Raw genomic sequence first — 27,999 nt, 5'->3', positions numbered from 1 at the left:
TACAGTGCACCAGGCCAACACTTCGCCACCTGGGAGAAAGCACAGGGGCTTCAGTGCAGCCTTTACCTTCAGGTATTCTCAGCCTATAGGAGAAAACAGCCTATTATGCATCCTCACTGCTCCAATCCCCACTTTTGTCCCTGAAACACAAAGATAATATTCCAGGTTTTCCTGGGAACTCATATAAGCCAAAAAAGTAAGCCCTAAAGAAATATCATGTTTCTGTATCTAAAGTGTTAAAGAAAATCCCCTTATGAACTAACACTGAGGAGGTCTGTGTGAGTCTGTGTCCCTGTTGAGAAAATTCTATGGCTTCTTTCACTAATTTTTGGGCACCAGGATCATCCTGACAGATGGCAATGCGCACCCACCAGTCCCATAGTCTGGGCTGTGACCTCAGTCCACCAGATCACACTGGATGGGGGGAAGGGGCGGAGGACTATGGCCAGAGTTCTTTTCATATGCATTGACATTTGGTGACTTTATTGAAAATAAAGTAACACCATGCAATTCCCCTTTCATCAGAATGCGAATGAGCTGGAATGTTATAGTGCTATTATCTACTGATCCATAAACCACTAAAGACTCAAGTAACCCTAATTTCAACAAGTATGCCTTATCTTTACCACACAGCTACTTACAAAAAAACAGAACACTGGCCTCCCTCACAGAGAGGTGCTCAAGCAGTGCTTATGTGAGGTTTTAAAATGCTCTGACAAGCATATTGAGCAGGAATGCAGAACGTATACTAAAAACATATTGACAGAGGACAAGGGGGGCATTTTGTGGCCACATCCTAAGCTTTCAAGGGGCGATTTTCTCAATGCAAAGCTATTTCGTGTAACTGGATACCTACTATGCGGAGCCCTTACGCTAAATGTGAATAGATGACACAGATTTTCATTGCCTCAGACATCCAGGAACTCACAACCTATAGAAATCTCCAATTTGCATAGGGCTCATTGTAACCTCATAGTTTAAAAGCCTATTATTTTAATTACCAATTCCTGGCTCTGCCCCCATGGTACCCATGAAATATTGGGCCAGTTACTTAATCTCTTGGTGACTTACTTCTCCCATCTGCAAAATGGGGAGAATAATAATTTCTACTTCCTAGGATTGCTGAGGGGATTATATGAGTTAACATATATAAAATACCTAAAAGTGTATCTGCTCTTATTATTTCTTTAACTCTACAAAGCTATGTAGCTGTGTTTGCTCATGCTATTATTAAGTATACAAATCAGTCCAAGCAACATGCCAGCATGCTGTGGGGAAGGAATTACTTGCATTTTAATGTGGTAGAGAGTAGGAGTTGTGGGGAGAGAAAAGGGGTTTAGACTGAGGAGTGAGGGTGGAAAGATTCCTTGGAGCTGGCACTACAGCTGGTCTCTGAAGACAGGTAGCGTTCTGTGATGCAGCCACGCATAAGGGAGAAAGCCTCTTAGGGGAAAATTAAAACAAAACAAGCCATACTTTTTGCCACTGATCTATAGAACAGAGAGGAAAACTTAACTGAAAAAAATGCAAATCAGATGAATGTTATCTTGCAGGTTCGAAGTCCCTTAAAACCCTGGGCTGAGAACAGCAATAGGAAATAGGAATTTTATTCTGTGCATCATTTCAAGGATGTACACTGCATGCAGCTGCTAATCATACCGATGCATAGTCACTACATTCTGTGTGAGGTGACTACAGGCATCGATAGGTCATCACCCAAGCAGTGGGGCCACGAAAAGGATGTTCCATTATGACTACGCGGGGAATGAAAGCCATTCCCATTAGCACAAAAATATTTTTAAAACACTCTGTCACTCACAAAGTTTTTTTTCACACATGTATACATTAAAACTTCACAACCTCGTAGGGATTCACACATATATACATACCCTAGCAGGGATTTCACACATATATACATTTCATCTCACAACCTAAAGAGATCTCCAGATCCTCAAGCTGCCAAGAGTTTGTCATTTAATTTCAATCCCATTTTACAGAAGAACTATAGCTTCCTGGACACCAAATAGTGAAGCCAGTGTTCAAACTCAAATACCTTGACACCAAATCTCATAATATTTCCATTGTATGTTCTTGTCATTGCCTTAAAAGTTTGTGTTAGAGAGCCACTGCAACACTATTTTCTACTGGAATCTGAATGTCTATCTTCTGCTTAGCAACAATCTCAGCATTTGTCATGTCCTACAGAAAATCCCATGTTGCTTCATGTCATTGATCTGTAGCTGTCTCCGATAAAAGGATGCGAATGCCTGCTGTGGCCCTGGGAATTTTAAATAAGAAGTCAATGAGAGATGCTGGTAAGTGCTTCTGTAATTGTCTAGGGGCAGATAAAAACCTTGGTGGAATAATAATCATATCAGTATGCTGGCTACATGAATGATCCGGCAGTGAATTACAGCAGGGTACTTCAACTCCAAAGCCTAGGGTGGCAGATATGCATAATTAATCTCCCTCTGCAATAACCCTGCAGGGTCAGCAACATCGGCATTCTACAGCTGAAATTAATGTCTTATTATTTCAGTCCTCTTTGGTGTTTCTTCAGATTCCGGAAAATAATATCAGATGTAGCAGCTCTGTTAACACAGACAGGGTTTGAAAGGATCTCCAGGCTATGAAAAAATATTCACGTAAATCCTGGTAGGTAAATAGAGGATGGATACAATGCAGAGTCCTAATAAATGTACCTACTTAATTCGAGTCTCCTGATATTTTAAATTTCATTCTTAAATTATCTTAGACCCTCTGAAGGCCACATATTGAACCACATTGTTCAGCTTAGGCTTTTACAGAATGATTTTGAAAGGCTATGCTTTAGTAATTCACCCTCAGTTTAGAGAAACATTAGGTTATTAATATTAGGTGAAAGAGGTTCAAAAGTTATCTTTTCCCACAGGACTTCTTTCAGGGCCTTTCAGGATGCTAATGCATGTTGTGAAACTCAATTACTTAGTAATAATATACAGTGTTTCTCAAATCTAATTGACTTTAGTAATTCTTGTTTAGTAACATCTGCAATCATCAGGTTCCTTGCCACAGTTTGGAAATGCTGAATGAAGTTCTTTCAGAAAAACACGGTGGAGGTGGAGTTTGACTGTGTAAGGGCCCCCAAACAGTAGACCAAGCTTTGAGGAATTCCTAGGAATTCTCTCACTGGGTGTATTACTCCTACTGGAGGTAGTTTTAGAGTAAGGCTCATGAACTTTTAATTGGGAAAAAAGTAGGAAATTCAAATCAATTTTCTAATTTGCTAAACCACTCCTGTGGCAAGCTGATGGAGGAACAATGGCATAATGACTAGCTAAAATGAGATGTAAGACATGCTGGTGGATTTAAGTATGATAATGCTATGCTCCACCAGTGTAGCTAATTGGAGTTGATTATAATTTCACTACTTCCAGAATTCTGGATTCTTAAAGACTGTTGCCAAATCAGAACATAAGACACCATCCAGAAAAAGTCAGAAAACAGAGGGGAGCCTTTATTTTTCCAATGATAAAAGGAGTAAGCACCTATGAGACCCAGCAAATAACCCTTTCACCTGTGTGACCTTAATGTTAGAAAAATTAAAAGGGCTATTATTTTCAATTGTTCTGCTCTTTCTGAAAAAGGGAAGAAAATGCATGTATGTATTAGGGTGACCTAAAAACTGAGAGTTTTTGCATGCAAATGTTCTTTCCATTCTCTAATATATAAAAAACAGCCTGAAATCTCCTTCTCTAAATCCAAAGGAAGAGATATTTACCACACTGCAAACAAGAAGGCTGTAAAAGCCTCAGGTAAGGGTTGGGTGCCATGGGAACACCTGTAAAGGCCGACTGATGACAAAGCCCAAAGCAATTTGCTCACACATCATATCCTAGTGCTACTTCCCTGATGTCCGTCACTGACATTCTGAATCCTCCCACGATCTGGCAGCAAGCTCTCTTTCCAACCCTTTGCTGTACCACTACTTCTCACATATCAAGCACTCCCACCACAGGTACAAATAGAGATATTGCTACAGATCACCCCGTGCCTTCCTTCCCCTTTACTCATCTCTTCTGCCTGGGATGCCCTTCATTACCCTCTCCAAGTGTACACATACCACCTGTCCTTCAGGACATATTTCCGAAACCACTTCTTTCATGAAACCTCCCTGCTTCCCTCTGCCAGATGTAATTTCTACCTTCTTCCTAAAACGTTAGCTATGCTTCCCATATAGTCTCAGTAATGTGCTTTTTTATCTTGTACTATTAAATAAGTGTGTATGTCTTCTCTCTTAAGACGTTTGCAGACAGGGTCCACTTCTGATTCATTTTTGACTCCCAGGGTCTAGCATTGAAGCCTGGCATATAGAAAACGCTCTGGATTATTGAGTGAATGATTACATTCTTCTAAACAGAGTGATTCTACAGGCTGTTTCTCAATCCAGGAAAATACTATAATTCCTTTATGTGTTTTCTGCTCCTTCAGTCTCTCAACACTCATTTCTTTCTCAGATCATCATGGGTGGGGGTGATTTTTCCACTAAAACATGTCAGGCAAGGCATGTTCAACAGAATACCTTTGGATTGTCATCTGCCTTTGTCAGTGTAAGCCTTGGTTATGCTGCTTTATAATACATACATTTGCATTTATCATGTGTATGGTGACACTGAACAACAGAGTTGCTTAGTGAGCCCCCACCCAATGACCATCGAGGGAACAGCCTGGAATTACACCAAGAATTCTGTTTAATTTGGATTCACATGTCTGATTTAACATTATTGCAGCTCATCATTTTTTTTTGGCTAGGGTGAACTCCCCTGAGCCTGTTGATGCTAGCCAAAAAAAAAAAAAAAAAAAATTCCCTTAATCTTTGTGTATGTTACAGTGGATAACTCGAATGGCCATTTCTAACCCCCAAAAGCTTTCAGGAAGCAGTTCCATTTAGAAAGGAAGAGTTTTCTATGAAATAATATAACAGAAATTCCTTGAGCCCTTTCAAATCACTACCCAAACTCTGAGATCTGGAGTTTTTAAACTGGAAGCATAATTTGGGTAAGGAGAAGAAGATACAATCAGGAATCAGAGGAAAGCCAAGAGAGGGTAGGTTTTAAGCAAAGACAGGAGTATGTGTGTAGAAGAGAGAACCCTAGAAAAATTAACCTTGAGAATAACATCTGTTCATTCACTCAACAAGTATTTTCCAAATTTCTGCCATATGTTAAGTACATTACTCAGTTGAAATAATTCATGCTTTGACACTATACACAGTGCTTCTTTTCATGTCTTATTTTACTTCATATTCACACAACTTACTCAAAAAGGAATATAATTTTCCTGTCTTACAGATGATGAAATTAGGTGCAGAAAGGTGAAGTGTCTAACTCAAGCTATCACGACAATCAAATAGCAAAGCTTCATTTTAATTAAGGTTCTCTGACTGCAACAGATTGTCTGCCCTGATTCTTTCACATCATTCTCCTTCATATCCACGACAGTTTATAAAACAAAATATATGAAGTGTTCAATATTTCGTTTGCTGTGTCCAAAAGATCAATTAAGAAAGATAAAAATTCACTGGAGCAAGGGTTGTGAAAAATGCCAAATCTACAATAGTAAAATCCCTGAGTTACATGCAAAAAAATATTTCACTAGGAGGGTATTTTATTATCAGTTTGAAAGTAATGAAGTGGCACGAATGAGACATTTCTGGGGAACTGCACAGACTTAAGTTATTTATAATTAGTGTGGCATCACTTGTATAAATGGGTGCACCACATTCAAGGTTTTAAAGTTGTTTTTCTCAGTCAGTTTCCCAAGAAAACATCTTTATCTTTAAAATCCTGGGCAAACACAATTCTCCACTTCTCATCCAGAGACAGGATATTGAAATTTCATGGGCATTTCGAATAGGTTGGTTAAAGTGATAATGATGGTTGTTGCCAGGGGCTGAGGGGAGGACAGACTCAGAAGTTAATGTTTAAAGGCTACAGTTTGAGTACAAAATGTGAAAAATTCTGGGGATGAATGGTGGCAATAGTTGCACAATGAAAATGTACTTAACTCCACAAAACAGTAGACTTAAAAATGGTTAAAATGGTCAATTTTATTACAATAAAAATACAAATTAAAGAAATGCTAATGAATTGTCAAATCAGATTCCAACTTGGAGGCGTATAATTTGTTACCACAAGGCCAAAGACAAAAGTCAGCTGAATGTCAAACTCAGAAAAAGTAAAACTTTAATTCTGAACTGCTTAGTTAAACATAATGAAATAGGACCTATCTTCTGTCAGATTAAGTACAAATTAAAACTAAGAAGCATAATTCTTGTTGAAAATAAGGGAAAAGATTCTTCACCTTCTTTCTTTTTCTCAGAGCATTTACTTTGGCCAACTTGCAATTACTGAGTACTTTTTGTACTCTTTGAAATGTATATAAATCCTTTTGAAGGCTAAGCAAGGCCTTTTGTCAGCTTTGTGACCTAGAAATGCCTTTTACTAGGAAGACCTGGAGGCCATCTCTTTGAAAAGTGAACATCACAGGAGATAGCACCCCTATCTCCCAGTTTCTATGGGAGAGTTGGGCCCTAACTTTGGTAGATAGCACCCCTATCTCCCAGTTTCTATGGGAGAGTTGGACCCTAACTTTGGTAGGCAACTTGCACCAAGTTAAAAAACTACCTCCTGTCATAAAGATATGTGAAGTTTGTTTTTCCTCTGGCCAAAACCAATCAGCTAACATGGATGGTCACCTCAATTACCAGGTAAAGTTAGGATGAGCTATGTGTGACAAATGGTGCTGTCAAGCTTACTTGAGGACAAGTTATTGTTTATCTTGAAAACACGTATGTAATGGGCTGTTTGGCTTCATAAAAGAGTGAGAGTTCTTTCTGTCTTTGCCATCTCTTAGTGGATTACCTGTGATGTACATCACATTCTGATTTAATGCTTGTTTAAGAATAAAAAATAGATTTGTTTTCTTTCTCTCTTACTTTTATAGAGAGAATTTCTCAGTTGGGAGACTTTGGTTTTAAATTTTATTTCCCCAACAGCTCCTAAACCTGTAACCTCTATAATTTTCACTAAAGTAATATTAAAAAAATCAACACAGACACATGGAAAGACTAATTCCTGTTATTACAAACAGGTAGGAAAATCAGAAGAAAGAGCAAAATGAACTTCTTAGGAGGAAAAAAAAAAGAAAATACAAAGTTTAAAATAATGAATAAGTATTGGTATCCATGAGAACAAATAAATGGTTCATTGCACAGCCAGGACAGGAAGAAATTTCCCTATAGACAGGTTCATAAAAAGGATTTTGTAAAATGACTTCCAAAAAGAGAATTATCTGCCTTTGAGCCTTTGAGGCTTTCAGCTTCAAAATGGACATCTTACAAACATTCATCCACCAAAGAAAAAAACAGAAGGACAAAGGGAGGGAAAGGTAATAAGACACCTTGGGAAGGAGGGAGGAAGGCAGAGAGGACGGAAGAGAGAAGAGAGAGAGGGATATGTGAATGGGAAAAACAAGTAACGAGAATTCATCTAATCTGTCCCTCAATGTTCTACCAACCTTGTCATTTTTGCATATCCAAGATGTCCTAGATCTCTCTAAACAAAAACTCTATGACAGTGTTTTCTCTTTATGTGGTAACATCTTACCTCCTTCATTTCATTGTAAGCAACTTAAGGTTTTAAGATGAAACAAGTAGCATTATGTTTTGGTTCCTATAATTCATTTTTGTATCATTCAAATGCCAGAGGGAGAGCACGGAACCATAAAATATATTTTTTAAAAAAAATAGCCAATAAAAGTAGAAAGAAGTATTTAAACAATGTCTTAATCTTAATAATCTAAAAGAAATGGATGTAACGGGCATTACATATTCAAGATCTGCTTTAAAAACAGAAATAAAAATGGCAAGTCCCTACTAGGGTTGTTCTTATCTATGTCAAAAAAATCACCTGTTAGGTTATTTTTTACATTTTATCTTCATTTTATTTTATTTATAATTATATATTTCATTTTATTTTTATTTTTAATTTATCCTTATTTATTTTTACATATTTATACACACTGTAATTTTATTAATTATACACAACATTTTGTGAAGGATCAGGAATATCACCAGAGTTATATGATACAGATGTTTTAAGTATTGGAATACGAGTAGAATAACTAAGAAAACCGCAAAAGAAATATGTACAGATGAGAGGAGAAGGCAAAAGTGACACTAAGAAAAACAGCAATACCAGGGGAAGTGGGGAAGATGGAGATACTTGGAGAACAAATCTGAATATAAGTCTGTTACAATCTGTATCACAAGATAGAAAAGCATTTTTGAAATTATGAAGCTTTTCCTTGTCAAATTTTGCAAAAGGAAATATAATAAACTAAAACAATGTTATTTTCCTAAGTTCAGAGGCACCAAATTCTGATTCTGGATCTTACTCTGACCTTGTGATCAGGCTTCCAATTCTTGGACAAATATACAATCATCACAGATACACAGATATAGTCCTATTCATAAAATATTAATACAAAGTATTTCCCTATGCTTTAAATACAATCCCCTGGACAATGAACTCACCTGAGCTTCTTTCTGAAAGCTGTAATCCTCCACACCACTGTAACTCTTTCTCAAAGAGGTGAGAGGAGGAAAGAGATTTGATAAGGTGGTAAGTCTCTGTATTAGTCTATTCTTACACTGCTAACAAAGACATATCCAAAACTGGGTAATTTTTAAAGGAAAGATGTTTAATTGACTCACAAATCAGCATGGCTGGGGAGGCTTCAGGAAACTTACAATCATGGAGGAAGGGAAAGCAAACACGTCCTTCTTCACATGGTGGTAGGAATAAGTACTGAGCAAAACAGGGGAGAGCCCCTTATAAAGCCATCAGATCTCGTGAGAACTCACTTGCTATCACAAGAAAGGCATCATGGGGGTAACCGTCCCCATGATTCAATTACCTGCCACTGGGTCCCTCCCATGACACATAGGGATTATGGGAACTACAAGATGAAATTTAGGTGGGATACAGCCAAACCATATCAGTCCCTTTGTACTAGGGTCTATAAAACCCAACCACAGCAATGATGGAAACCAGACAATCTGAAAGACATCGTGCCGACAAGAATCATGGAAATACCCTGTATTTGTTTTTTCCCTCAAACACCCCTCTTCATTGAAAATGCAAGCTTTTATTCAACAACACACAGTTAAGAGCTCCTGCTGTGTGCAAAGCACTCCATCCTGCCTTGCAGATGAATGCTGAAGATACAGTCTGTGATCACAAGCCAGATTCTATCAGAACCCACTCACACAAAAGCAACCAAGTGAAGGCAAAGTTGGATATCTGCTCTAAGACAGTGCTTCTCAAATGGTAGCATGCATAAGGAGAATCTGGAAAACTGGGTAAAATGGAGATTCACACATTCCATAAGTCTAGGACAAGACTCAAGATTCTGCATTTCTAGTCAACCCCCAGAGGCTGCTATTGCTGCTGCTCCTTAGACCATACATTGAGAAGCAACAGTGTAAGGCATAAAGTGTAAATAAAGGGCTGTGGATGCCAAGTGAGCAGTGATTCTTGCTAGCTAATAGTGGTAGGGAGGGTTCATGGGGAAGATCTTGCATCTAAACAGGAAGAGGAACAGAGGTGTGTGCTTCTGTGTGGGTACTTAGGGACCAGAAAGAATCACAGAGACAGTGGAGAGCAAAGAGAAAAGAAGGGAAGAAAAGAGAAGGTATTCCAAAAAGCAAAAATAATCTGAGTAAAGTTCTCAAAACAGAAAAGTACATGAGATATTTAGAGGAAAACAAGAAATCTAGTAAGACTAGAATATAACCTGCAGGTGAGTAGGCAAGGAATTACAGAAAACAGGCCTAGAATGATATGCCATGGAGAAATCGTATACGTCTTATGTAGATTTAACCCTGTATTTTGGAGGGCAGGGGGTATCTGATCGCCAAAAAGATAGGCACATTTCAGCTGTAAAAATTAATTATGTAGAATAAAAGATCTTGAAATTCTGAAGTTATTCATATTCTACATTTTGATATGTATTACTAAATGCTCATTATTAGTCTTCAATATAATTGCCTTTCTGTAAATTATAGCCCATCTTCAAATGGATAACCTTCCTTCAAATGAGACTGTGTAAGATCAAAACAAAATATGGCCTGTTCCCACGCTCCTTAAAGTGTTCACCATTCAGCAGCCTAAAATTAAGCAGTGGCTTAGTGGAATCACAAATCATTCGTATTTACTGTCAAAAGCTGCTAATTTCCCAAAATGTTTCATAATGTAATATCTTGACAAAGGAAACCAGATGAGGCTATAAGAGTGCATAGGTTTTCGTACAGCTGCCTGCATGTAAAGGAATAGATCTGAGTCAATGCTGTGTGGCAAGAAACAGAGAGGACTCATGGGATGCCTAGGAAACTCAAGCAGGTTGCCAAACTCTAATGGGCAAGTTCACTGCCTCCCTGCCAACATTATTAATAATAAAAAAAAAGAAGAGAAAATGTATCTAAAGTAAAGCATCTAATAAATTCTCTATCACTTCTTGTTTCTGTTTCTGTCCAAATCAGCAAAATCTTTAAATATCACATTATCGCTCTTTGAGATAGGCTACGAGTCTCACTTAGTAAGAGGTTCCAAGTTAATTTTTTAAATAAGTAAATGTCTAAAAGTTAAAAAAAATATCTATATTAGGTAGGAAGTGTAAACACTGTGGCCCCTTCTCCTCTCCCTTTGGCATTCATCCAGTCTCTCTCTTAATATAACCATATATAACTACTAGACTCAGACTCTTTCATTTTTTCACATATAACTGTTTTTCTTTTTACAAAAATTGAATCATATGTGTATATAAAAGATGCTTATTTTATTTAGTAATGTGTCTTTCACATTTTTTCCAGATTAGCTTATGTAATTACATTTCTTTTTGTCTGTTTGTTTTTTAAATTATACTTTATTAGGCAAAGCATAGACCATGGTTGTCACCCTAATTCACACTTATGTAGCATTATGATCTATTATACATCATTTTTAATGGCTAAATATGATTACATTGTCTAGCTTATGATAGTGTATTTAACCATGTCCCTATGGATGGCATTTTGATTATTTGCAAAAAACTGTCATTTTCAACCACCTTTAGGCTTACGGTAATTTTCTTCAGGATTACTTAAAAATCATTAGGGTCCCTAGCATCTACCCAGAAGATCACAGTAAAAATACAAAACGAATCTATTGGCCAGTGAAAACATCCAAAGAAGAGAAAAGTGAGACCCACAGAATCAGAGGCATGCAGTCATACCTCAACAGCTGGTAACTCAATTACTAGACAGTGTCAATTATCAAGTAAATACCAGTAGCCAACAGCTAGACAAACCAGAGCTGCAAACGGTAACTAAGATGCATCAACTTAAAAAAAAATTAAAAAAAGAATCAACTTTATTTATAGTACAGATCTTCAGATAACAACTTGGTTATCTGAGTCCTTATGCCTAGGCAGAGAAGAAGTCACAAACTTGCATGAAGGACAAATGGCTTTTATAAGGAGGCATGTTGATGGCAGGTGTGAAAGTTGAGCTACTAACACCCAACAAGAAAAGAAACCCAACAAGCAAAAACTGGTAATATGGGGGTCTGGGGCCATTTCACGTTAGAGTCTTACGTATTTCAATAGGTTCTGGGAACATCATTATGCACAGTGAAAAATAATTCATGTTCAAAATCACAGCCCTGAATTGTTCATGAAAGTATAATTTCTCAGGATCTTTGCTATATGATAGCAGTGTAGCATGGAATACACCTGAGAAAGACAACCTATCAAAACAGTTAAAACACGATCCTTGACCATAGGAGACCTGAGGAAGACTGGGCCAAACACAGCACTTAATAGACAGAAAAACAAAAGGACAAAGGTAGCATGATTGATCCAACGTCAGTGGGTTTTTGGAAATAATCTGAGCTATTAAGCCAGGATACATGAATCTTATGCCACCGTGTTTGTGGCTGTTCCACAATTACAAAATTGGTCATTACAAACTGTAACTTGAGCTAGAAGACACTCATTGTTCAGCATTCTCAGAGAACTGAAGATTTACCTTAAGAAATATTGTGATCAGAAATGTGAATGTAAGTGGCCCTGGTGGGGAGCTGAGAGTGAGTTATAAGTCGTAGTTAATTGCTGTTGTTTGGAGGAGGTAGATCTTCTAAAACCCGAGAGAAAAAAAATAGCACTAATTGTTGGCCAGGAATAGAGCTGTACAAAGAACTTATGTTTAACACGTGGATAATAGGGAAACTAAGTCACACACATATGCAAAACTAGCAAATCTCCTTGCTTCTGTTTGGCTGACCACTAAACTCTATTGTTTTGAATCAACTAACTTTCAAAACATAGCTTGATGGTTTCTGTAAGCGTTCATCACTGCTAAATAAACTGAATAGGCAGTGTACTTGAAAGCACATTGCACAAGCAGGCAGGAGACTTGAGTTCAAGTTTCAGTGTACCTCCAGAACAAAGGCCGCAGGGTTGATATGTCAAATGAGTAAACTGAATGTGATAGCATCTTTAAGCTTCCTCAGGACTACTATTCATGTTTCTAGTCAGCTCTTAGCAAATAGAACTTAGGCAAATACAGGAAATCCATATACCCTGCAATACACAGTACAGACTAAGATTCCTATATTTGGGACCTTTGTTGCTACCAAGGCTCTCTGAGACATATTTTAAACAGAGGACTCTCATTTTCCTAAGCCCCACACTTCACTTTGCTGGTTTTCTTTTTTTTTTTTTTTTTTTTTAATTCTCTTACACTTTATCTTCTTATCCGGATGACATCTAGAAAATTAGACAGGACCTCAGAAGTCACTAATGTTATTTGGAACACTATTTGGGAAGTAAAGGCCCAGGGAGGAGAGGTGACTTTCATGAGGTCAATAACTCACTAGTGGAAATGTGAGAAGATGGCTTTTGATTCCCAGTTCAGGCCTGTCTACCAACTCTGAAAACTATTAAGAAATATAACTGCCCCCTAAAAATAACATACCATTTGTATCCAGGAAAAAGAGTCATGTCTGAACAGGCAATGGTCCTATATCAAAAGAAGACAGCTACTCGGGCCCAGAAGCAATGATCAGGCTGCAAAAGGAGCTGAAGTTGCTGTTCTTTTCCCACGACTTTGTGAAGATTTATGGTGTACATGGGAAATCTCGGCCCAAGGTCCTATAGGCAGCACTGGATCGGATCTCTAAGGAGTCCCTACAGCTATGAAGTTCTTAACATCTTTATTTCCTGGGAAGAGCTGGACTGACCTGACTTAAAATATCTGGTGAGTTTCTGAAGCTTTTCTACAAGGAATGAAACTTCCTAGTTTGAAATATCCAAACATGATAGATTTGAGCAAAGCATACCGAGCTGTAACATTACATTAAAAAAAAAAAATGAAGTGGGCTGGAGATTATGGAAGTCTCTGTAAATCCTGAGGGGAAAGATCATCTTATTTAAATACTGTCCATTCTTAGTTGCAGCACCGATCGGTAGGACCCACTGCCAGTTTTTGTATCTTTCTTTTTATTCTTTCAAATCAAAGCTGTTAATCAGCTGCTGGAGACTTCCTAGCATTGCAACACTCTTTCCTTCAAGAACCAGAGAACTGTCTCAATCCTGACATTAAATCAAAGGATTATCATATTTGACTAGCAGAGCTTTCAGATGAGTAGTAAGCCAATTAAAAGAAAAGAAAAAATAGAAGAAAAAAAAAAAGGAGTTTTTCACTCCTGACCTCCTGGCCTGCAAGCAGCTTTCCTTTGAAACGGCAAGAAGAAACGGCTCTCAAAGATACTTTCTCATATGCTGCCAACCGCAAAGGGAGTATTTTTCAGGGGATGCTTGTCTGGCCTGACTCGGACTTGTTTCAGGGTGTGTCATCATTCCTGTAAGAGGTTTGGCCTGGGCAAGACTGCATTCATTAGGAATTATTTCAAAAATCCAGAGCTGGCAGCCAGTGGGAGGTTTTTCTACACGGATGTGCACCTCCCACGTGCTCTGGTCACAGACACGACTGGGCTGGTAAGAGGGCCTGACGGAACCGTGCCAGGCCCAGACACAAGTCTTCCATTCTGACACGGAGTGCTGCCAAGTGGGAAGGAACCACATCCTTCCTCATCCTAAGTCCCCTTCTTAAATCGAGTAGTTGTTCAGACAGGGGAAGCACAGGGGGGAGGGAGGAGGAGACATCACTAGTTGGTGTTAATTATAACAAGGGGAAACCTTTATTCCCAATATAAAGTTTCTAAGTGAATTCAAGACAGAATCTCAAGGCCGGAAAGGCCTTTAAATGTCATTTTGATTCAAACTCCTTTTTCCAATATTCAAATCTCCCTGTGACATCCTTGCCAACTAGATGTCTAGGCCCTCTTTTAATATCTCTAGTGATGGTGAACTCATTACTAATGTAGTTTTCATATGGCCCTAATTGTAATAAATGTCTCTTTATGTTGAGCTGGACCCAAATCCCTTGTCATGTCAACCTACTTATCCTGGATGAAGTCTTTCGAGCCATGTTGGGCCTACGGTTCCCTCTTTCACAGACACCTATGGGCATTCAATACAGCAGTTCCAGTATTTCAAAGCAGCATTTCCATAACGTCATGGAACTTACTTTCAAAACTAGGAGACTAGGGGTTTTTGAAAGTATTTGTTCCCTTACTCCCCTCTCCAACCCTCAAAGTGAGAAAAACATACTGAGGAAATGAGAATGTCATTAAAACAGAAGGAACTATCATCAATTGATTAAGGCATCTCCCATGCTGCCTGAGCCGAAAAAGGAAATTGAAAAAGGAGAAAAGGAAGCAAGAAGAGGCCAGAAACGCAAATGGGCTGGCTCAGTCCAAGCTGAGCTTCTAGGGAACTGTCAGACACATCAGAGTACTAACTAAACGCCTGTTATAAGATGTTCAGCTGTACGTGCAAGCAAACTGGATAGGGGCCATGGGATGCACGGCACGCCTCAGCACAGGGAGGCAAAGCACGGGGTTTCATCATGAGCTTTACAGCCATATAGACCTGGGTTCAGGTCCTTCTCCACAGCTGTACAAGCTACTTAACCACATTGACTCTCAATTTCCTTATTGGTGGACAGGGTCAGTAAAGCACCTCACATGGAATTAGACAAGATGATTATCCCAGCACTTTGGGAGGCCGAGGCGGGCAGATCACGAGGTCAGGAGATCGAGAACATCCTGGCTAACACGGTGAAACCCCGTCTCTACTAAAAATACAAAAAATTAGCAGGGCGTGGTGGCGGGCACCTGTAGTCCCAGCTACTCGGGAGGCTGAGGCAGGAGAATGGCGTGAACCCAGGAGGCGAAGCTTGCAGTGAGCCGAGATGGTGCCACTGCACTCCAGCCTGGGCGACAGAGCAAGGCTCCATCTCAAAAAAAAAAAAAAAAAAAGAAAGATGATTATATGAGGTAATTTTGTAAAGCACCTGGCACACAGTAAGCACTTCAACTTGTTAGCTATTATCCTTTTTTCCCCTCATTACTAGAAGACTTGCCTTTGACTCTCTCAAACTAGAGCAATTAGGCCAAAACTCATGTGTGAGAACCAAGACAAGAGAAGCAGCATGATACCAGAAAGTGCACTATGCCAGAACTAGAAAGCCAGTTACAGGTAGGTTTGGCTGACTTTATAAACACAACATATTCCTCTGAGGCCTTTCTGCAAAGCCAGAGGTTTAGCCTCTTTGGCCCCAGCAATCTAGTATTCTTTGAGAACGATTACACGTATTCCATTTAATGGCTGCTGCGAAAGCTTGATTTCTATATGCCTCCTCCTGTTCCCCTAAGTCCATGTCTCAATATCATTAACTACAAAAACCCTAGATTCCCCACAGCAAGAAGCTGGGGTAGTCACCCGATTTCATGTGCCCTAGGGATCTCTTTAGGGGTGCAAAACCCTGCAAGGGTGCATTGAATGGAGGATATATTACGGTTTCTTAATTCACTTGCTGCTGGCTGTTGAAGTCTTAGGTGATACAGCACTGACTGTAAGTGTGTGTTTTACATAAGTCAAGACAAGTGAGTAAGTTCAGCTGTGTCTTGACAAGTAGGAAGCCAAGAGATATGGTTGGTTTTTAAACATTCAGGAGTATGTGCCGGGAAGTGCTGACAGGGAAGACTTATGGAATGCCCTAATTCAAAGATGTGTAGATTTCCTGAGGGTGTTAAGGTATCCACTCAGGTATGCTTTTGTAAAGAACCCTTTCCTCTTTACCCTGTGTTTGGTGTCCTGTGCTTTGAGGAAAGGCAGTAAAAATACTTCAGGAAAGTGAGGAAACAGAACAGCTGAAATTGTAACACCTGGGTTACAAAAAGCCTGTTCTTTGGGTGGAAAGAGATCTTTAAAGTGAGAATGTCCAAGAACTATGGGTGGATTTTTTTTAATTATTATTATTATTGTTACAGACAGGTTCTTGCTCTGTTGCTCAGGCTAGAGTACGGTGGCACAGTCCAGACTCACTGTAACCTCAAACTTCCAGGCTCAAGGGACCCTCCCACCTCAGTTCCCCAAAGTGCTAAGATCGCAGGTGTGAGCAACAGGGCCCAGCGATGAATGGATTTAGAACAAGGACACAGCATGAACAAAGATATGTCCCAAGATTATCAGGCAGTGGTGCATAGAGCGAAATGGAAAGTTGAGCAATAGAATGGTGCCCTTTGAATATATAGAACACCAATGAGCTCTTGAATCATCGGGGCTAAGTGGCCACTTGATGGTCATCACAACCTCTGAGCTTCAGTTTTTTCACTTGTAATAATTCAGATAAAACTGACCTTGCAGAGCTGTTATCAAATCAAATGAGATAATGAACATGTAAGTGGTCTGTAACTTGTTGGGCACTTGGATACACATAAGAGAATACTGTTGTTACCACTCAGTAAAGCCCCAAAGTCTTAATTTACTACGTAATAAGTATTTGTTTTTATAGGATCTCTCCTCTCAAAATGATACTGACATGATTGCATAAGCCAATTTCATTTAAGCCGATGTTCTAATTGTGTATACACTTCTCCTTGTTCTTCACCTACTAGAAGCAAACTTATCAGGGAGTTTTTAAGAAGAGTTATCTAGGCATACCATAAGGGCATCGGAGTTGACAATAGCAGCCATAGGTGAAATCACTTTGGCTTGTAATGTACACTAGCATTTTTAATTCCCAGAATGGTCCAGAACATCTTATGATGACTCTGGGTCACCTCCTTTAGTGAGAACAGAAGAAAGTTCTGGGAATGCAAATTTTCCACCTTGATTATTATAATAGAATCCTCATTAATTGCCCCACTTATTCCCTCTCTAAGCCAGATCTAAAATACAGATCTGATAATGCCCCTCCCTTACTCGAGAATATTCATTGTGTCTCCATGTCTTATAGGATTAAGTATGAATTTCTTAACAGAGCATTTAAGGTCCCCAAAAAATAGTGCCTCCTTGCATTCAATGATGATGTATTCACATATTATCTCCCGGTCAGACTGGGCTCTCTCCAGGGCAGGTTCCTGTTTCCCTCCTTCACTTTATGTTTTCATTATCTTCCCTTTCTCTAAGATAAAAGTCACTTCTGTTTCCTAACTGTGCAAAAATAGTTAAACTGGAATGATGTTTCCTAGAATTCCTTACTCTTTATGGTTCCAAGTTAGGGCTGCCCATAGAGAACTTTATTCAGAGGGTCTGTCTAGGCCTCTAGGTAGTACTGCAACTCACATACGTTGTTGCTGATCACTGGCTCACCTCCTAGATGGGGCAGCAGCCAGGCCCACTGCTCTTTCTTTTTCTTTTCTTTTTTTTTTTTTTTTTGAGTCAGAGTCTCGCTCTGTTGCCCACTCTGGAGTGCAGTGGCGCTGTGATCTTCGGCTCACTGCAACCTCCGCCTCCCGGATTCAAGCAATTCTCCTGCCTCAGCCTCCCGAGTAGCTGGGATTACAGGTGACTGCCACCACGCCCGGCTAAATTTTTTTTTTTTTTTTTCTTTTGAGACAGTCTAGCTCTGTCGCCAGGCTGGAGTGCAGTGGCGCGATCTCGGCTCACTGCAACCTCCGCCTCCCGGGTTCAAGTGATTCTCCTGCCTCAGCCTCCCAAGGAGCTGGGAGTACAGGCGTGCGTCACCACACCCAGCTAATTTTTGTATTTTTAGTAGAGATGGGGTTTCACCATGTTGGCCAGATGGTCTTGATCTCTTGACCTCGTGATCTGCCCGCCTCGGCCTCCCAAAGTGCTGGGATTACAGGCATGAGCCACCACGCCCGGCCATTTTTGTATTTTTAGTAGAGAAGGGGTTTCACCACGTTGGCCAGGCTGGTCTCTTGACCAGGCTGGTCTCGAACTCCTGACTTCATGATCCACCTGCCTCGGCCCTCCCAAAGTGCGGGGATTACAGGCTGAGCCACTGCGCCTGGCTGCCCACTGCTCTTTCAATTCCTGCCAGATCTTCCCTTTAAACTCCTCCGTCTGAAGCCAGGCAGATGTGAAATTCCGTGGCTAAGAGCACCAATCTCTTCTGCAGAACACCTATATCATCAAACTAGAGACTCAGGGGCTCCAATCTGTCCTTTTCCACGTCACATCCAGATTTCATTTCTGACTGTCTGCCTGCCACAGGCAGAGGCAACAGCCCTCAACAGACTTCCTAACCAGTGCCTTCTCAGGATTTCTTAACTGTTCTCTCATCTCCCAAATATCCTGCCCTAGGCCTTCAGTTGCCCAGTCTCTCCCACAATTGTAGCTCTCTCTGATAAATCGCACAATCCATATCATTCACTCACCCCGGTCAGACCATAATTCATTTACCACTTCTCCTTACCAATCTCTCTCTGTCCAACCTGTCCATCACTTCAAGACTCACTTTAAATACAACTTCCTTATAAAGCCCTTCCTGAGTTACACAATTGTCTTTCCTCTGAAATACAAAAATGTTTTATTACCTTATATATCTTTTCAAAGTACATTATGTATTCTCATGCTATTTGAAATACTGTATAAATTGTATTATAAACCCCTGTGTATGTTTTATCTTTCAGTTGTGTTTGTGTATTTGCTTTTTTAATTCTCTATATCTCACCAGTGTCTTGCCTACAGAAGTTTCTCAGAAAATGCTTATTGTCCAAAAGAGTAAATGAATTATCCCTACCAAGCCTCCCTTTTTATTAACGCAGGCAACTGAAACCCAGTGTTACTATGTGTGGTATCACCTTATATGAAGACTGTTTCTATAGCAGCCATAACTTTTAACTTCCTTACCTTGGAAAAGAGTCTCTCTAGTCCACATTCAAAGCTATGTATTCTTATTATATGCCCGGTCCAACAAATTCATTACCCAGCTTCCTAGTCTGCAGTAAAGTAGAAACTGTTAATTGTATGGGGAATGGAGAGCCAGACATGCCAAAAGCAATGAGAATTAGCAGACAATAAGAGAGAGAAAGGCCAGCAAATTTATGAAAATCAGACTACACAAATTTAACAGTATATCAGTCTGGGACCATTTAGTATACAAGTAAATGATCTCACCTCAATAAATTCCAAAGGAATTACAGTCCACTCCAATTAGCTGTGCTGCATAACTAAGATTAAGTAATGCTCCATATTTTAGAATAATCTCCTTCTGAAATTATTCTTAAAGCAAACATTTAAGAAGAAAGGTATATATTGAAACTTGCCATTTAAAAAAATCCTGCAGCAGTTCCCATTCTCAGAGAGAGAAAGATGAAAAAGGAAATGCATTTATTTTCTTATGTATTCATTCAGCAAATATATAGTGAGTGCCAATTATGAATCAGGCACCATTCTCGTGTGTGTGTGTGTGTGTGTGTGTGTGTGTGTGTGTGTGTGTGTAGACCTTTCCTTAAAATAATTTATCAAATAGTGTCAGGAATATCGAAACATCTGAACTTTACTTGGAAAATGTAGAAGGATAAAAGTTACACCTTTTAAACATCCCATAACAAGACCAAAAGCAAAAAAAAAAAAAAAAAAATGTAAACAAGCACCATATTGGTTCCCTACAAAGAAGCAAACAAATGTAATCCACAAAATAGAACTCAGCTCATTGGTACCAGCTTCTTCCAGGTCAAAGTAAACTGTCAACTGGAATGAAACTTCCTGCCTTCCACATGCAACCTTTGCCTCATTTCTCTGCCAAATGTGTCTTCACTGCAGGGGAGGTCCCTGGAGACTCCAGAGGTGTTGCAACGCTGCAAAATTTGCTTTCAAAGAAAAATGTGGCAAAACACAAGAAATATTTGATTTTATCACCACAGCCCTGCAAAACACACGTAGAGGCAAGCATGTCAAGCATGTCACTTTTTATTTTTATTTTTTAGTTGTAAATTTGGTTTACGACTAAAATTTGTACATGGCTGCAGTAAGGATTGAATGAGATAATGAAACTAAGACATTCAGCACAGCTCCTGGTACACAAGAGGCACAGGATCAATATTAGGTCCTAAACCTCCAGCAAGTTCTGTAAATTAACCTCATTAAGTGTTATCTGGGGCAAAACTTTAGTCTTCTGCTGTTTTTTCCTTGTCACCCAAAATGCTCTGGGATCATCGCTGGAATACAAAGTAACTTTCCAGCAAGGTAGATCCAGGCTAGGGAGATAGACAGGCAAGGTTGGAAGTGCTGCCTTTAGCTATGTCAGATGTATGGAGGAAAAAAGCGTGGTCACACAGCACCTTTTGCTCTCATGCTGTTCTCCAGAACTGGCCTTCCTTCCTATAAGAGGGCCTTTCAGAATCCACACTGCATGCCCTGCTGAGGGCAGGATGCCAGGATGAGCCCTGGAACAAAATTAACATCACTGATTATATGATTGAATCTTTGGCTTTGATTTTTAAAAGAAAGTTAATAAAACAAGCACAACTAAAAAACTGCCTGGTACATAATTGTAATCATGTTTGAGGAGGTTATTTTAGTTCAAAAAATAATAAAAACAGTTCAGATAGACTCAGCTCTAATTATGTTCCAGGAACTGTGCTAAGTGCTTTACATGCACACTTCATGTAATCCTCACAATGGCCCTACATTTGTGCCAACAACATAGATGAAGAAAGAGGTTTAGAGATGTTAGTAATTTTACCATATCACAGAGGTAGTGAGTACCTTCTGCTACCTAGGTTGCCTCAGTCTAAAACCCACGTTTTTATCACTATTTGCTAATGAAATGATACAACTTGAAAGAATAGGTCACAGATTAATTCACTGATTCAATACGCTTATTGAACTATTCCTTCATATAAGGCACCACAAAGTAAGTGGGACAAATAGAGGTGAATAAATGTGCAGGTTTACTTTTTACAATCAAAGAGCAGAATAGTATAATGATTAAGCTTGCTCAATTTCCAATATTGACACTACCACTGATCAACTCTGTGATTCCGGGTCTCAGTTTTGTCTTGTGTAAAATGGTGATTATAACTTCACCTGCCACATACGGTTATTCCGAGACTTCAAAAAGAAATTATTTATAGAAAATTTGAAATGGAGTCTGGCATATGTTATCAAGCTATTTTAAACTCATATTATGAAGAGGCATGTATGAGATTATATGTGCACGGGCCCAGTAAACACATCACGGAAGAGATGACCTGTAAGCTACTTCTTCAAGAGTTAGGTACCATTTAAATTTGTAGAGTCAGAAAGAAGAAATTGATCTTGTATGGAATTTAATTTGCCTTTCACATGCTTACTCTTCACTACGACAGATTTCAGAAACTGGTAGCTAAAGTTTCCTAAGGAAATAGCTCTAGGTTCAGTGTTTTGGGGAATTGATTACATAAAACACCTACACAAGAACTGTAAAATTTCCAGCTGAATTGAATTGAGCAATAGTGCATACATTTCCATCCATTACTTAATGCATTTGGAAATAAGAATGGTATCATTTGAGAAAAAGCAAAGCCACATCTAGAATATATAGGTTTTCCCTATTTTAGCTGGGTTTTTGTTTTCCCTTTTGAAATGTTCTAATGGGAACGAGAGCCTATGAATGAAACATCAATGAAACCAAATTGTCTTTCTCATCTGTTCATAACAGCCTACATGATGAAATCAGAGCAGTTGGTCTTCTCATCTTATAAATAAGTTCTTCCATTTTCCTTCACTCTCTGTTCAAGGCTCTAAACACCTTTGACCTGCTCATCATCCTGCTTCTGTCTGTTCAGTGACTTCCTGCTACACTTTGCGTAAAATCCAAACTCCTCACCATAGCCTGCAAGACCAGTCTGACCTAGGCCTTGCCTATCTTAGAACCTTATTTCCAGCTCTTCACTGTCTCTTACTTGGCCCACCACCTCAGTGACGACCTCAGGCCTATCGTGGGTCCTTCTCAGGCTTTTGTCTTAGTTCAAATGTCAGTTTCTCGGAGATCACTTCTCTGACTAGTCTACTTAAAAACTGTCCCTCTTCTATGTCCCTCCAATGTTGGTTGCTGTTTTAATCTTAGCCTTTCATTTCTTGTCCTGAAATCACTTCTATTTCTTCTGTTTGTCTGTTGTCTCTTGACTCATATGTACATATTTTCATCTTTCTTCCTATCACTATAGCAACCTAACAAGTAAACACTTCAACACCTCTGTTTCCTCAGGTAGCTTTGAAAAACTCCTAAATATATAGATAAATAGACACTTATTTTTACATACACATATATACATGTACACACATATATATATGTACATAGACATAAATTATTACTTCAATATTTAAATATATACTCAACACTCCAAAAATACACACATACACTTATATATACATATGTATATGTATGTGTGTAAATGTGTATATATATGTGTGTATATGCGCATATATGTATGTCAAATTTTATTTGAATATTACATGTATAATTTACTGTCTTATCCGGTTCTATCTCTTTCTACTTCTTGGGGACAAATAATCACACTAACATCTATCCATATACTTATTTATGTATCATTGCCTCCTTATTGGCCATTTGCTATTTGCTAGAAACTATTCTAGGCACTTGGGATACAGCAATAAGCAAATCAAGTGTCCCTGTCCTTGTGGACTTTATAATCTACTGGAGGTGAAATAAAAAATAAGAAATGAGGAAAGGATTTCCTATTCAATAAATAATGCTGGGGTAACTGGCTAGCCATATGAAGAAGATTGAAATTGAACCCCTTCCTTACATCATACGTAAAAATTAACTCAGGATGGATTAAAGACTTAAAACCCTGGAAGACAACCTAGGCAGTGCCATTCTGGACATAGGAATGGGCAAAGATTTTTCATAATGAAGACACGAAAAGCAGTTGCAACAAAAGCAAATATTGACAAATAGGATCTAATTAAAGAGCTTGTGCACAACAAAAGAAATGATCAACAGAGCAAAGAGAAAACCTACAGAATGGGAGAAAAATTTTGCAAACTATGCTTCTGACAAAGGTCTAATATCCAGCATCTAGAAGGAACCTAAACAAATTTACAAGAAAAAACAACCTATTTAGAAAAAATGAGCAAAGGACATGAACAGACCCTTTCCAAAGACATACATGAAACCAGCAAGCATATGAATAAAACATCACTAATCATTAGAGAAATTCAAATCAAAACTACAACGAGATACCATCTCACACCAGTCAGAATGGCTACTATTAAAAAGTCAGAAAATAACAGATGCTGGCAAGGTTGCAGAGAAAAAGGAACACTATACACTGTTGCTGGGAGTACAAATCAGTTCAACCATTGTGGAAGACAGTGTGGCAATTCCTCAAAGACCTACAAAAAGAAATACCACTCAACCCAGCAATCTCATTACTGGGTATACACCCAAAGGAATATAAATTATTCTATTATAAAGACATATGCATGTGTATGTTCACTGAGCACTATTCACAATAGCAAAGACATGAAATCAACCTAAATGCCCGTCATTGGTACACTGGATAAAGAAAATATGGTACATATACACCGTGGAATACTATGCAGCCATAAAAAGGAATGAGATTATGTCCTTTACCGAAACATGGATAGAGCTGGGGACCATTATCCTTAGCAAACTAAGAGAGGAACAGAAAACCTAATCCTGCATGTTCTCACTTAGAATTGGGAGCTAAATGAGAACACATGAACACATAAAGGAAAACAACACACACTGGGGCCCATTGGAGGGTGATAGGTGGGAGGAGGGAGAGAATCAGGAAAAATTACTAATGGGTGCTAGGCTTAATACCTGGGCAATGAAATAATCTGTATAACAAATCCCCACGACACAAGGTTACCTATGTAACAAACCTGCACATGTACCCCTGAATTTAAAATAAAAGTTAAATTTTAAAAATAGACTAAATAAAATAATAAAATAGTATGTGTAAGCTTATAAGGTACCAAATGCCACAGAATAAAGGAAAAATAAGAGTAGGGTAAGGGAGATCAGGATTTCAGAGAGCAAGCAGCCCTATTCCTGCTTCCCCTACCCCAACCCATGCAAATTCAAGCAATCCAAGTAGGCTTCCCTGAGGAGATATTGAAAAAGACTTTAAGCAAATGAAAGAGTTAGCCAAGTAGTTATCTAGGACATTTAGTTAGAGAGGAAATAAAATGTAAGTTAAACAAAGTCATGCAAGGTATTTCAAAGACTGGCTTATACAGTAAGTAAAACTGTGTTTTAGGCACTTCATATGTATCAAATTACTTACTTCTCCCCACAACCCAATGAGTAACATAGAAAAGTTAAATAACTTCCTTAGGTTTACACTGAGGGAGCAGAATTTGAATCCAAATTCAAACCCCTACAATATCCTGCCTCTGAGTACTGAAAATTCTAATCCAGTGATTCTTAGATTTCAGTGCAGATATCCTAGATATCTGCTCATTTCAGAAGGTATCCACATGATTCTGTTGTGAAAGATCCATGCACTGCAATTTATCACTGGTCTAATTCCTCCTACACATGAAAGATTCTGAGATATTTTAAGGTAAATATTACATTCATTTCCTATCCTTTGCCATCCCAATTGTTTGCCAAATTGTGGCACATTCTTAGACCAGCTGGGGCATCTACTTGATATACTCCCCCTCTCCATCTGAGATTCATCAAATGAGAGAGGCTTTGGGTAAACAGCAGCACTGAATGAAGAGGAAGGAATGAATATTTACTGAGTGCCTTCTAGGTGCCAGCTATTAAAAGCTAGAGGCTTAATATATTTTTTCTTACTTGAACCTTATTAATAAATAGAGATAGATAGATAGATAGATAGATAGATAGATAGATAGATAGATACATAGATACATAGATAGATACATAGAAAGATACATAGATAATAGGAAGGAAGGAAGAGGAACGAAGGGAGGGAGGGAGGAAGGAAGGAAGGAAGGAAGGAAGGAAGGAAGGAAGGAAGGAAGGAAGGAAGCAAAGGAAGGCAGGCATGTTTATTACCATTTTACAGGTGAGAAAACTAAGTCTGGACAGGCTAGGCATGCAGTATCTAGAATTCAAACCCAGCCTGATTCCGAAGCTCAGCCTACTTCTTACGATCTACTCTATTCATTCAATCTGCTGCCCCCACCACTGTCTCACTCTGTAATTGGGAAACTGAAGTATAATCTTCCAGAAAAGTGCTACTTAGTGTGTATTACCATTCTCAAGTCTCCATCATTTCTATAAACAGAAAGAACTCACATTTTAATGAGAGTCAAGCCTCTTCTGTGGGCACTAAGAGCTCAAAAGAAGAAAGCAGAAAATGTGTACTCAACGCTAGAATCCAAACTAAAGCAAAATATTTTCTCCTTTATTTTGTTGTAGAAAACTATGGAGATTAACGGTGATACAGAACTTGCTTTTTTTTTAAGAAAGGCTCTATTATCATTTCCCAAATATTAAATGTCCATGTGCCTAACCGAGTCATCTACTTTTTCTTCCCATCCCCAAACCTGGGTCCTGAAGGGGATGGGGCAGATGGGGAATGATCTGTAGGTCAGAGTAATGTGGCAGAATCACATCCTTAAGGACATAAAGGGTTCTTTATGGATCTGACTCTCCGTGCAGTACCCGGTTGTAATTCTCACCGAGGCCAATGAGATACCTCCTAAGACATTGTTCTACAGTCACAGATTTATAAAACACTCTACCTTAGACATAATATTTTCCAAATTGCTCATTTTCGGGGTGAAAGCAAGGAGTCTGGAGAAGGAAACGCAACTAACCAGGACCAGGGCTGATTGACTGAGGAAAAAAAAAAAAAATGACATAATCTTGGAGTTAGAAAACTAGGGTCCAAGTCCCAGTTCTACTATTTATTAGCTGCTTGGCTGTAGTAAATATGTAGCCCCTTTGAGACTCATGATGTAAAACATTAGCAACACCTGCCCTGATTACCTCAGAATTATTGCAAAAAAAAAATGTTACATGTGTATACATTTGCATATACAATAACAAGCATTTTGACGACTTAAAGTTCTATATTAAAAAAAAGCTGTTATTATTTCAACCTGGATCTTTCTTTTTCTAATTTAGTATCCATCTGGGCATGCAATGGAACAATTCTCATTGCTGTTGTTAATTGTAATAGAGGTTAAAATCCCTATGCATAAGCCTCTTGACAAATGTCATGGCATATGATTGACACTTACCAAAGGCCTGACAAGATGGGTTTTATTATCCCCATTTTACAGATCATAAAAATAAGGCAAAGATAGACCAAATAATTCGGCCAAAGTCAAACCCAGGCAGATCAGTTTGACATCAATGTCCACTATATTATGGAAACACAATTTTAAGTTGCCATAGCATCTAACCATACTGGCGTTAAGAAACTGCTATCAACGAAAGGAACATTTCCAGACATAATGCTTATAAAATGACTGCTTCTCATTTCTCTTGCCATTAGCATTGATTGGCAGAGGAGGAAGCCGTGTAATCATGAGGACTTTTGTGCCAGAAAGGTAGAAATCACAAGCATCTGCTGGATATAAACTAGACATAAAAGGTTACCTGTTCTCATGTTCAACAGAAAATAATAGTTGAAGTGATGTAAATTCTTCAATGCTTTTAGAAATCTTGAGATCGAAGCTCATTGCAGCTGCCCACTTCAATGGAAACTTCCTACTTTCTCTCTGGCAATTTATTTATGATACTTGACACTGGTCTTGCTGTCAATATATGCAAACGGGCACTTCAGCATCATCCTTCACCGTGTTTTCTGCAAAATGCCCTTTATTATTAGGACAGAAATGGGTTTTCCCATCATTGAGCTAGTAATGTCTAACTTTCTTGGAGCCTATGACTCCTTATCATTGTCTGATTTTGTGACCACAAAATTAAAGGAAATTAAAACTACTTTATTAGTCTGTAGAGGCAAACTTTGACACAACTAATACTATTGATAAAGCACGAGAAATCCAGAAAGTCAATTTTGGGCCCACTGACATAATATGAACCCATCATCCGTTCAATTTTGCCCTTCTTATGTATGAGTCACTGTGCTAGGCACAGGGCAGAATAAACCATATCCTCAGCAGATATTTTAAGGTAAATATCACATTCATTTCCTATCCTTTACCATCCCAATTGCTTGCCAAACTGTGGCACATTCTCTTAGACCAGCTGGGGCATCTACTCAATATACTCCCCCTCTCCATCTGAGATTCATTAAATGAGTAATGATTTGGGTAAACAGCAGTGCTGAATGATGAGGAAGGAATGAATATTTACCAAGTCCCTTCTAGGTGCCAACTATTAAGAGCCAGGGGCTTAATATGCTCTATCTTTCTTTAATTTCACTAATAAATAGAGCTAGATAGAAAGATGATTGACACACAGATTAGATAGAGACATTTGTAAGTCTCTCAGCTGATGGCATAGCTTATTCTGTCCTGTGCCCAATGGGGATGAACAAAAACAAAAGCACAAATTACAAATTCCAGGACCACAGTAAAAAAAATAATAATAATAACAATAGAGATAGAAGATGTTATATG

At 38.7% G+C, this 27,999-nt stretch overlaps 1 protein-coding gene across 17 annotated transcripts in view, besides 1 other annotated feature; it reads right to left on the bottom strand.

Annotated features, from left to right (window-relative positions):
• The window catches only part of IL1RAP (interleukin 1 receptor accessory protein), a 145,666-nt gene that overhangs the window by 112,028 nt on the left and 5,639 nt on the right, over positions 1-27,999 (bottom strand). For 3 of the 17 annotated variants that reach the window (XM_047448081.1, XM_047448084.1, XM_047448085.1), the window contains exon 2: positions 4-27,221. The exons of 12 other annotated variants lie outside the window; for them this stretch is intronic. The gene's annotated coding sequence lies outside the window, so the exon portion shown is untranslated. The remainder of the gene's footprint in view (positions 1-3; positions 27,222-27,999) is intronic. 2 more of the 17 variants (XM_047448082.1, XM_047448083.1) reach the window with 2 other exon arrangements.
• Positions 6,015-6,897: an enhancer, noted in NCBI's record as "OCT4-NANOG hESC enhancer chr3:190258615-190259497 (GRCh37/hg19 assembly coordinates)". NCBI's record gives its function as "activates a minimal SCP1, AML or CMV promoter by ChIP-STARR-seq in naive H9 embryonic stem cells {active_cell/tissue: H9 hESC(naive)}" and the evidence as "EXISTENCE:reporter gene assay evidence [ECO:0000049][PMID:30033119]".

The sequence above is a fragment of the Homo sapiens genome, chromosome 3 (assembly GCF_000001405.40).
Source record: "Homo sapiens chromosome 3, GRCh38.p14 Primary Assembly".
NCBI classification, from domain to species: Eukaryota; Metazoa; Chordata; class Mammalia; order Primates; family Hominidae; genus Homo; species Homo sapiens.
This window is presented reverse-complemented; position numbering and strand designations above follow the sequence as displayed.